The sequence below is a fragment of the Homo sapiens genome, chromosome 16 (genome assembly GCF_000001405.40).
Source record: "Homo sapiens chromosome 16, GRCh38.p14 Primary Assembly".
Classification (NCBI taxonomy): Eukaryota; Metazoa; Chordata; class Mammalia; order Primates; family Hominidae; genus Homo; species Homo sapiens.
The window spans coordinates 80,631,548-80,643,880 of NC_000016.10; the positions used below are offsets into that span (position 1 = coordinate 80,631,548).

Consider the following 12,333-nt stretch of genomic DNA (forward strand, 5'->3'; position numbering starts at 1 on the left):
AACAGACTTTATCAAAATTTAAAAATTTGTTTGTCATAGGGCACTATCAAAAAAGTAAAACATCAACTCTCAGAATAGGAGAACATATTTTCAAGTCAAGTATCTGATAAGGCCTTACTATCTAGAGTAAATAAAGAATGCCTAAAAGTCAACCATAGAAAGAAAAGTGACCTAATTTTAAAAATAGGCAAAGGATGTGAATAGAAAGAAGAGATAAATGACCAATGCACTCATGAAAAGATGCTCAACATGACTAGTCATCAGGGAAATGCAAACCAAAGCCACAATGAGATACCACCTCACATGCACTAGTATTGCTATAATAAAAAAGACAGACGTAACAAGTGTTATCGAGGATACAGAGAACCTAGAACCCTCACATACTACTGGTCAGAACGTAAAATGGGGGACCCACTGTGGAAAACAGTTTTTGCAGTTCCTCGAAAAATACGGTAAGCAATATGACCCAGCAATTCTAAGAATTGGAATAGACTCAAGAAAATCATATTAGAAATTAGAAATATATCCAAGAAACCTGAAAATATATGTTCACATAAAAACTTGTATATAACATTTGTAGAAATATTATCCATAAAAATCAAAAGTAGAAACAAGCCAAAAGTCGAACAAATAGAAAAGGTGATAGATAAAATATAGTCTATTCATACAATGGAATATTATTTAGCCATAAAAGGAATGAAGTATGGATACACACTAAAACATGGATGAAACATGAAAACATGCTAAGTGAAAAAAGCCAGACACAAAAGGCTACAAACTGCACGTTTCCATTGATACAAACTGTCCGGAATAGGCAAATCTACAGAGACAGAAAGTAGATGAGTGGTTTCCAGGGCATGGGAGAAAGGAGAATGAAGTTACTATTTCATGTGGGTGAGGTTTCTCCTTGGGGTGATGAAGATGTTCTGGAATTCAGTAGTGATGATGCTTGCACAATCTTGTGAATATATTAAAAATCACTGAATTGTACATTTTAAAAGGGTGACATTTATGGTATGTGAAATCAATCTGTCTCAATTATATATACAATATGTAGTAACATATATATGTATTATAAACTGAGTGAGATACATTAACTGAGTGAATTATATCTGCGGCCAACAAATATGACATGCTGATGACAACAAAGTTTAGCTGGAAAAGCCCAAGATGTGATGTTTGGATTCTGGGTCTGCCCCTTGGCTAAGTCTGTGTCCACGATCAGTTCAGTGAGTCCCTCTCCCCATGGTCTTCATCCATAAGATGAGAGGGTATCATTACACGGTCATAAAGATCAAATGGGATAATGTATGTAAAATGATGAGCAAATTGCGCGCTGCAGTCAAGTTTTTATGCACGCTAGTTACCATCCTCAGCTCCCTGATGGAAGGAAGGAGAAAGCCAATATTCCATTCTGAGTGAGAAGGAGCCACAGCCCAGCTTGCCCTTCCCTCTGGCCGCCACCCCTTACCTCAGGTGTCAGGGCATTGTTATCCGAGGTCTGACTGGACAGCAGGATGTGCGTGAACCCTTCTTCCTTCCGCACAACGATGTCTCGAAACCGACAGTTGCTTTCATTCTGGCGGACACTGTATCTGAGCCTTTTGTCAAAGACGTAGTCCTTCTCCGCTTCCAGCTTCCTCTTCACTGGACTGTGCAGGTTCAATCCCCCGTTGGTCAGAGCAGAGCCTTCCAAAACCAGATAAACAATGTAAGAAACTGAAATGGACCACGATCCTAGAAGGATGTGATCAGAGGACGTTGGGATTTCCAATGGAAAGGTTTGGATGTGCTGGGACACACCACCTTCTCCCCTGTGCCACCCTCTGTTCTAGGAAGAGGGAAGGTGAAGAGACAGGCTGAATTCCTGCATCTCCAAATTCAGAAGGGGACCTAGAGGGCTCTTTGTGAAGGCCCTGTGCGGTCCTCTACTCTCTTCTCCCATATATCAGCTTCTGCTCAGATTCCTTGGCCACAGGGAATCCACTGACCACCCTGAGAGGCAGCCCTCTCCACTGGTGGATGCCTATGAATCATAGGAAATTATCAATAAGAGCAAGACCAGCAGCTAACCTTTAACCAACCCGTATTATGTGCTAAGCACCACCCTCAAATACATTCACGAGCATGACCTTATTTAATATGAGAACCAGAGATGGGGCTCTGGGACCCCCCTAGGGCTTCCTCAGGCGCTGCCTTGAGATGAGAGGGGTGAATACCAAGCAGGCAGTATCCTTAGGTCTCTCTCTTCCTCTCGCAAATCAATTACAATGGCTTTGCATTTTTCTGTTTCACATATTAACATTCACAAATGGCCTGAAAGTGCCCTCCTGAAAAGGTTTGAAAACTAAAAACAGAATGATCCAGATGTATAACGGTTCCCAGTCTCCAGCCTCACACAGGATACATCAGGAGCTCTGGGATGTGCTAAAGAAAGCAAGGCCAAGCCAACACCCCCAAACCTCCATCGGAAGCAGATATAGGAAGAGGCTCAAATGTGTATTTTGAAAACACTTCCCAAATACCTCCGTCCAAAAAAAAAAAAGGGAAAGAGAGAGGGAAGGAAGACACAAACTACCAATATCAGAAATGAAAGAGGGGGCATCACTATTGATCTTATAAATCATGCTACTATAAAGACATATACACATATGTTTACTGCGGCACTATTCACAATAGCTCACACTTGGAAAGAACCCAAATGTCCATCAGTGATAGACTGGATTAAGAAAATGTGGCAAATATACACCATGGAATACTATGCAACCATAAAAAAGGATGAGTTCATGTCCTTTGCAGCGACATAGATGAAGGTGGGAACTATCATTCTGAGCAAACTATCGCAAGGACAGAAAACCAAACACCGCATGTTCTCACACATAGGTGGGAATTGAACAATGAGAACACTTGGACCCAGGGCGGGGAACATCACACACCAGGGCCTGTCGTGGGGTGGGGACATGGGTGAGAGATAGTATTAGGAGAAATATGTAATGTAAATGAAGAGTTAATGGGTACAGCAAACCAACACGACACATGTATACATATGTAACCTGCACATTGTGCACATGTACCCTAGAACTTAAAGTATAATTTAAAAAATAAATAAAAATAAAAGGATAATAAAGAAATACTAAGAAAAACTGCTCTGCCCATGTATTTGATAACTTAGATGAAATTTCTTTAATCAAGACACAAACTTCCAAAATATACACAAGGAGAAATACATCATCTCATCTGAATAGGGCTATAAAAAAAAGAAATTGAAGGAATTTCTACTAAAGAAATTGAATCAATAATTAATAAGCTAACAAAGAAAGCATCAAGCCCAAAGAATTATACCAAACATTTTTGGAACAAATAATACCAATTCTCCAAAAGCTGTTCCAGAAAACAGGTTCAGAGGAACACTTCCTAATTCATTCCATGAGGCTTGAGTTGCCCTAATACCAAAGCCAGATAAAGACATTACAAGAACACAGAATAGTAGACTGATATCTCTCATGAACACAGATGGAAAAATAATCTTCAGCAAAATATTAGCACATCAATGTATAAAGGGAATTATACGCCACAATCAGGTATAAGAAGCTGGTTCAATATTTGGAAACCAATCAATGTGATCCACCACATCAATAGGCTAAAAGAAGAAAAACCATATGATCATATCAATTGATGTAGAAAAAGCATCTCACAAAATCCAATAGAAAGGGACTTCCTAGTCCAATTGTCTCTGTTTGCAGATGATGTGACTGTATATTTAGAAAACCCCATCATCTCAGCCCAAAATCTCCTTAAGCTCATAAACAACTTCAGCAAAGTCTCAGGATACAAAATCAACGTGCAAAAATCACAAGCATTCCTACACAACAATAACAGACAGCCAGCCAAATCATGAGTGAACTACCATTCACAATTGCTACAAAGAGAATAAAATACTTAGGCATACAACTTACAAGGGATGTGAAGGACCTATTCAAGAAGAACCACACACCACTGCTCAAGGAAATAAGAGAGGACACAAACAAATGGAAAAACATTCCATGCTCATGGAAAGGAAGAATCAATATCGTAAAAATGGCCCTACTGCTCAAAGTAATTTAAAGATTCAATGCTATCTCTATCAAGTTACCACTGAATTTCTTTACAGAATTAGAAAAAATTACTTTAAATTTCATATGGAGCCAAAAAAGAGTCTGTATAGCCAAGGCAATCCTAAGCAAAAAGAACAAAGCTGGAGGCATCATGCTACCTGACTTCAAACTATACTACAAAGCTACAGTAACCAAAACAGCATGGTACTGGTACCAAAACAGACATATAGACCAATGGAACAGAACAGAGGCCTCAGAAATAACACCACTCATCTACAACAATCTGATCTTTGACAAATCTGACAAAAACAAGCAATGGGGAAAGGATTCCCTATTTAATAAACGGTGTCGGGAAAACCAGCTAGCCATATGCAGAAAACTGAAATTGGACCCCTTTCTTATGCCTTATAGAAAAATTAACTCAAGATGGATTAGACTTAAAAGTAACACCTAAAGCCTAACTCTAGAAGAAAACCTAGGCAATACCATTCAGGACATAGGCATGGGCAAAGAATTCATGATTAAAACACCAAAAGCAATGGTAAGAAAAGCCAAAATTGACAAATGGGATCTAATTAAACTAAAGAGCTTCTGTACAGCAAAAGAAACTATCACGAGAGTGAACAGGCAACCTACAGAATGGGAGAAAATTTTTGCTATCTATTCATCTGACAAAGGGCTAATATCCAGAATCTACAAGGAACTTAAACAAATTTACAAGAAAAAACCCAAACAACCCCATCAAAAAGTGGGCAAAGGATATGAACAGACATTTCTCAAGAAATGTATGCAGCCAACAAATACATGAAAAAAAGCTCATCATCACCGGTCATTACAGAAATGCAAATCAAAATCACAATGAGATGCCATCTCACGCCAGTTAGAATGGAGATCATTAAGAAGTCAGGAAACAACAGGTGCTGGAGAGGATGTGGAGAAATAGGAAGCTTTTACACTTTTGGTGGGAGTGTAAATTACTTCAACCATTGTGGAAGACAGTGTGGCGATTCCTCAAGGATCTAGAACTAGAAATACCATTTAACCCAGCAATCCCATCCTGGGTATATACCCAAAGGATTATAAATCATTCTACTATGAAGACACATGCACACGTATGTTTACTGCAGCACTGTTCACAATAGCAAAGACTTGGAACCAACCCCAACGCCCATCAACGATAGACTGGATTAAGAAAATGTGGCACATATATACCATGGAATACTATGCAGCCATAAAAAAGGATGAGTTCATGTCCTTTGCAGAGACATGGATGAAGCTGGAAACCATCATTCTCAGCAAATGAACACATGAGCAGAACGCCAAGCACCGCATATTCTCACTCATAAGTGAGAGTTGAACAATGAGAACACATGGATACAGGGAGAGGAACATCACACACCGGGGCTTGTCTGGGGGTGGAGTGTTAGGGGAGGAATAGCATTAGAAGAAATACCTAATATAGATGACAGGTTGATAGGTGCAGCAAACCACCATGGCACGTGTATACTTATGTAACAAACCTGCACGTTCTGTATATGTATACATTTAAAAAAAAATCTTTTAGTTCCTAAAAAGCACAAACTTAAAAAAAAAAGGGGGAAACGAAAGGGACTTCTTCAATTTGGCAAAGAACATCTACAAAATACCTACAGATAATGTCTTACTTAGCGGTGAGAAATGGATGCTTTGCCCTTAAGATCTGAAATAAGAAAAAGATGTTCTCTCTCTTTTTCAATATCACACTGAGAGTCCTAGCGATTGCAAAAACATTTTTAAGGGAAATAAAAGTATATAAAGTTTGGGAAGAAATAAATAAAACGATTTTTGTCCACAGATGACAAGACTTGTCTACATAGAAAGTACGAAAGAACTGGATTAACGAAAAAAGAAAAAAAGAAAAACAATTACTCCTGAACTAATAAGCAAATACTGTAAGGTCACAGAATACAAGGTTAACAGACAAAAGTCAGTTACTTTTGCACATACCAGCAATGAGCAACTGGAACTTGATGTTTTTTAAAAAAATACTGTTTTAATATTCAATAGTACAATGGAGAGATTATACTTAACAATAATTTATTGTATATTTCAAAGTAGCTAGAACAGAAGAATTGGAATGTTCCCAAAACAAACACAAGACAAATGTTTGAGGTGATGGATATCTCAATTACCCTGATTACCCTGATTTGATCATTACACATCCTATGCGGGTATCTAAGCATCACACGTATTCCAAAAATATGTACAACTATTATACGTAAATGTTAAAACTTTAAAAAATATTGTTTATGACAGCATCCAAAACAGGAAATACGTAGATATAAATCTAACAAAATATGTATAAGAGCCATATGTGAAAAATTGTAAAATTCTGATGAAACAAAGAAAATCTAAGTAAATGGAGAAATAATCTGTGTTAATGAATTGAAAGACTCCATTTTTTTTTTTCTTGAGACAAGGTCTTGCTGTGTCACCCAGGCTGGAGTACAGTGCTGCTATCACAGCTCACTGCAGCCTCAACCTCCTAGGCTCAAACTATATTCCCTCCTTAGCCTCCCAAGTAGCTGGGACTACAGGCATGTGGTAACACACCTGGCTATTTTATTATTTTTCGCAGAGAACAGGGTCTCACTATGTTGCCTAGGCTGGTCTCAAATTCCCAACCCCAAACAATCCTCCCACCTCAGGCTCCCAAAGTGCTGGGATTATAGGCGTGTGCCACCACACTTCGCCAAGACTCAATATTTTTAATATGTCAATTCTTCCCAACTTGATCTATAGACTCAATGTAATCCCAATTCAAATCCCAGCAAGCTATTTTGTAGATATTGGCAAACTGATTCTAAACTTTATTTGGGAAGGCAAAAGACCTAGGTAATACTGATGAGTAAGAATCCACCTGGAGGACTCACACTACCCAATTCCAAAACTTACTATAAAGCTAAAGTAATCAAGACAGCGTGGTGTTGCTGAAAGAACAGATACATGCATCAGTGGTATATGATAGACGACCCAGAAATAGATCCACAGCAATATACCGAGGTGATCTTTGGCAAAGAAATAAAGACAATTCAATGGAGACAGGATAGTTTTTCTCAACAAATTGTACTGGAACAAATGGATATCCATTTGAAAAAGGGAAAAAAAAGAACCTAGACACAAACTCTGTACTTTGCAAACAAAAATTAACTCAATATGAATCATAGACCTAAATGTAAAATGCAAATTATAAAGCTCCTAGAGGATAGTACAGGAGAAACCCTAGGGAACTTGGGTTTGCAATGACTTTTTACATAAGACACTAAAAACATGATCCGTGAAATAAAAAATTTTTAAATTGGACATTACAAAGAACATAATTTAAACAAAATAATTTCAATAATTTTAAAATGGGCAAAAGATCTGAAGAGACACCTCAACAAAGAAGTTATACAGATGACAAGCATATTGAAATGACATTCACCATCATTTTTCATTAGGGAACTAAAGCAAGGAAATTAAAGCCAGGAGGTACCACTACACACATTAGACTAGCTAACATCCAAAAACCCAACAACACCAATAGCTGGAGAGGATGCCGAGTGACAGGAATGCTCATTCACTGCTGGTGGGCATATAAGATGGCACAGCTACTTTGTAAGACAGTTTTGTCTTTTCTTAAAAAGCTAAACTAGTCTTACCACATCAACCAGCAACCACCATTCCTACGCATTCACCATAATGATGTGAAATCTTATAGTCACAAAACAAAACCAAAACACAAAAAACTGCAGCTTTATTCAAAGCACCAAAAATTGGAAGCAACCATTGTGTCCTTTAATAAGTGAAGGGATAAACAAACTGTGGTACATTCATAATATGCAACATTATTCAGCAATAAAAAATGAGTTATGAGGGAATGGAGCAAGATGGCACAATAGAAGGCTCCATGGATTGTACCCTCCCCCCTGCAAGGACATCAAATTAACAACTGTCTACACACAAAAAAAAATACCTTCATAAGAACAAAAAATCAGGTGAGCACTCACAGGACCCGGTTTTAACTTCATATTGCTGAAAGAAGCACCGAAGAGGTAAGAAAAACAGTCTTGAATCACAAACGCCACCTCTCTCCCCTCCCCCTGAAGCAGTAGTGTGGTATGGAAAGCACGTTTGTGCACTGTGGAAAGGGAGAGTGTAGCAATTGTGAGGCATTGAACTCACTGTTGTCCTGTTATAGCAGAAAGCAAAAGCATACCAAACTCAGCTGACGTCTACCCAATGACGGAGCATTTAGACCAGCCCTAGCCAGAGGGGAATCACTGATATCCCAGTGGTCAGAACTTGAGTTCCTGCAAGTCTTGCCACAATGGGATAAAGTGCTCTGGGGCCCTAGATAAACCTGAAAGGTGGTCTAGGCCACAAGGGCTAGACCTCCAAGGCCAATCCTAGTCCCGCAATGGGCCCAGAGCCAGTAGACTCAGGGGGCACACAATCCACTGAGACACCAGCTGGGGTGGCTAAGGGAGTGCTGGTATCACCGCTCTCCTAACACCAGACTGCACACCTCAAGTATCCAAAAGAGATCCCTCCTTTCCACTTGAGGAGAGGAGAGAGAAGAGTAGGGAGGACTTTGTCTTGCATTTTGGATAACAGCTCAGTCACAGCAGGATGGGGCACTGGTCAGAGTCATGAGGCCCAGTCTGGGCCAGAAGGGAACCTGCTGCCTTCAAGGGAAGGATCCCATCTTGGAAGGATTCATCACCTGCTAACTGAAGAGCCCTGAATAACCAGCAGCAATATACAGGTACCACGTTGAGGGCCTTGGGTAAGACTCCGAGACTTGGTGGCTTCAGGTGAGACTCAGCACATTCCCATCTGTGGCGGCTACAGGGAGAGATAAATACCTGACTCTTCAATTCCCAGACACAAACATCTACAAGAATCAAGATCATCCAGGAAAACATGACCTCACCAAATAAGGCACCAGGTACTAACCCTGGAGCAAGGGAGATATGTGACCTTTCAGGCAGAGAATTCAAAGTAGCTGTTCTGAGGAAACTCAGAGAAATTAAAAATAACACAGAGAAGGAATTCAGACTTCGATTAGATAAATTTAACACGGAGATTGAAATAATTAAAAAGAATCAAGCAGAAATTGTGTAGCTAAAAAGCGTAACTGGCATAGTGAAGAATGCAGCAGACTCTGAATAGCAGAATTGAACAAGCGTAAGAAAGAATTAGTGAGCCTGAAGACAGGCTATTTGAAAATATATAGTCAGAGGAAATAAAAGAAAAAGGAATAAAAAACAGTGAAGCATGCCTACAGGATCTAGAAAATAGCCTCAAAAGGGCAAATCTAAGAGTTACTGGCCTTAAAGAGGAGGTAGGGAAAAAGATGGGAGTGGAAAGTTTATTCAAAGGGATAATAACAGAGAACTTCCCAAGCCTAGAGAAAGATATCAATATCCAAGTACAAGAAGGTTACAGAAGACAAAGCAGATTTAACCCAAATAAGGCTATCTGAAGGCATTCAATAGTCAAACTCCCAAAGCTCAAGGATAAAGAAAAGATTCCAAAAGCAGCAAGAAAAAAGAAACAAATAGCACACAATGTAGGAGCTTTAATACATATGGCAGCAAACTTTTCAGTGGAAACCTTACAGGCCAGGAGAGAATGGCATGACATATTTAAAGTGCTAAAGGAGAAAAACAAAAAACAAAACAAAACAAAACAAAAAAACTTTTACCCTAGTATAGTATATCTGGTGAAAATCTCCTTCAAACATGAAGGGGGAATAAAGACTTTCCCATACAAACAAAAGCTGAGAAATTTTATCAACACCAGATCTCTCCCACAAGAAATGCCTAAAGGAAGCACTTCAATCAGAAAGAAAAGGATGTTAAGAAAATGTGGCACATATACACCGTGGAATACTAAGCAGCCATAAAAAATGAAGAGTTCATGTCCTTCGTAGGGACATGCATGAAACTGGAAACCATCATTCTCAGCAAACTACCGCAAGGACAAAAAACCAAACACTGCGTGTTCTCACTCATAGGAGGTAATTGAACAATGAGAACACATGGACACAGGAAGGGGAACATCACACTCTGGGGACTGTTGTGGGGTGGGGGGAGGGGGGAGGGATAGCATTAGGAGATATACCTAACGCTAAATGACGAGTTAACGGGTGCAGCACACCAACATGGCACATGTATACATATGTAACAAACCTGCACATTGTGCACATGTACCCTAAAACTTAAAGTATAATAATAAAAAAATAAAAAAAAAAAGAAAGAAATCATCTGAAGGCATAAAACCCAGTGGTAATAGCAAGTTCACAGAAAAAAACGGAATACTATAACATTGTAACTGTGGGATGTAAACTACTCTTATTAAATAGAAAGGATAAACAATGAGCAGGTCAAAAATAATAACTACAACAACTCTTCAAGACATAGTACAATAAGATATAAATAGAAACAGAAGTTGAAAAGCAGGGGGATGAAGTTAAGGTATAAAATATTTATTAGTCGCCGGGTGTGGTGGCTCACGCCTGTAATCCCAGCACTTTGGGAGGCCGAGGTGGGTGCTTCACTTGAGGTCAGGAGTTCGTGACCAGACTGGCCAAAGTGATGAAACCCCATCTCTACTAAAAATGCAAAAATTAGCTGGGCATGGTGGCATGCCCCTGTAATCCCAGCTACTTGGGAGGCTGAGTTGAGAGAATGGCTTGAACCAGGAGGCGGAAGTTGCAGTGAGCCAAGATCTCGCCACTGCAGTCTAGCCTGGGTTAACGGAGCGAGACTCCATCTAAAAAAAATTATATATTTATTAGTTTGTTATTGTTTGTTTCTTTATGCAAATAGTGTTGTTATAAGCTTAAAATGATGAGATATAAGATATTATTTGCAAACCTCATTGAATTAGTCCGTTTTCACGCTGCTGACAAAGACATCGGGTAGACTGGGAAGAAAAAGAGGTTTAATTGGACTTACAGTTCCACGTGGCTGGGGAGGCCTCAGAATCATGGAGGGAGGTGAAAGGCACTTCTTACATAGCAGTGGCAAGAGGAAATAAGGAAGATGCAAAAGTGGAAACCCTTGATAAAACCATCAGATCTCATGAGACTTATTCACTACTATGAGAACAGTATAGGGAAAATTGCCCCCATGATTCAAATTATCTCCCACTGGGTCCCTCCCACAATTATGGGAATTATGGGAGTACAATTCAAGATGAGATTTGAGTGGGGACACACAGTCAAACCATATTATTCCACCCCCAGCCCCTCCAAATCTCAAGTCCTCATATTTCAAAAGCAATCATGGCTTCTGAACAGGCCCCCAAAGTTTTAACTCATTTCAGCATTAACCCAAAAGTCCACAGTGCAAAGTCTCATCTGAGACAAAGTAAGTCCCTTCTGCCTATAAGCCTGTAAAATCAAAAGCAAGCTAGTTACTTCCCAGACACAAGGGGGGTACAGGTATTGGGTAAATACAGCTATTCCAAATGGGAGAAATTGGCCAAAACAAAGGGGTTACAGGGCCCAGGCAATTCCAAAATCCAGCAGGGCAGTCAAATTTTAAAGCTCCAAAATGATCTCCTTTGACTCCAGGTCTCACATCCAGGTCACGCTGATTCAAAAGGTGAGTGCCCGTGGTCTTGGGCAGCTCCACCCCTGTGGCTTTGCAGGGTTCAGCCTCTCTCCTGGCTGCTTTCATGGGTTGGCATTGAGTGTCTGCAACTTTTCCAGGTGCCCAGCACAAGCTGTCAGTGGATTTACCATTCTGGGGTCTGGAGGACGGTGGCCCTTTTCTCACAGCTCCACTAGGCGGTGCCTCCACAGGGACTCTGTGTGGGGGCGGTGAGCCCATATTTCCCTTCTGCACGCCTTAGCAGAGGTTCTCCAAGAGAGCCCTGCCCCTGCAGCAAACCTGCGTGGGTATCCACGCATTTCCATACATCTTCTGAAATCTAGGTGGAGGTTCTAAACTCCAGTTCTTGACTTCTGGGCACTCATAGGCTCAACACCACATGGAAGATGCCAAAGCTTGGGGCTTGCACCCTCTGAAGCCATGGCCCAAGCTGTATGTTGGCCCCTTTCAGCCATGGCTGGAGCAGCTGGGACACAGGGCACCAAGTCCCTAGGCTGCACACAGCAACAGGACCCCGGGCCCAGCCTACAAAACCATTTTCCCCTAGGCCTCCAGGCCTGTGATGGGAGGGTCTGCTGTGAAGACCTCTGGCAAAC

General features: G+C 40.3%; 1 protein-coding gene across 4 annotated transcripts in view; it reads right to left on the reverse strand.

Annotated features, from left to right (window-relative positions):
- CDYL2 (chromodomain Y like 2) overlaps window positions 1-12,333 on the reverse strand; it is a 207,131-nt gene that overhangs the window by 33,641 nt on the left and 161,157 nt on the right. For all 4 annotated transcript variants that reach the window (XM_011522866.2, NM_152342.4, XM_011522867.3 and 1 more), the window contains exon 3: window positions 1,472-1,689. In XM_011522866.2, coding sequence (XP_011521168.1) covers window positions 1,472-1,689 — 218 coding nt within the window. The remainder of the gene's footprint in view (window positions 1-1,471; window positions 1,690-12,333) is intronic.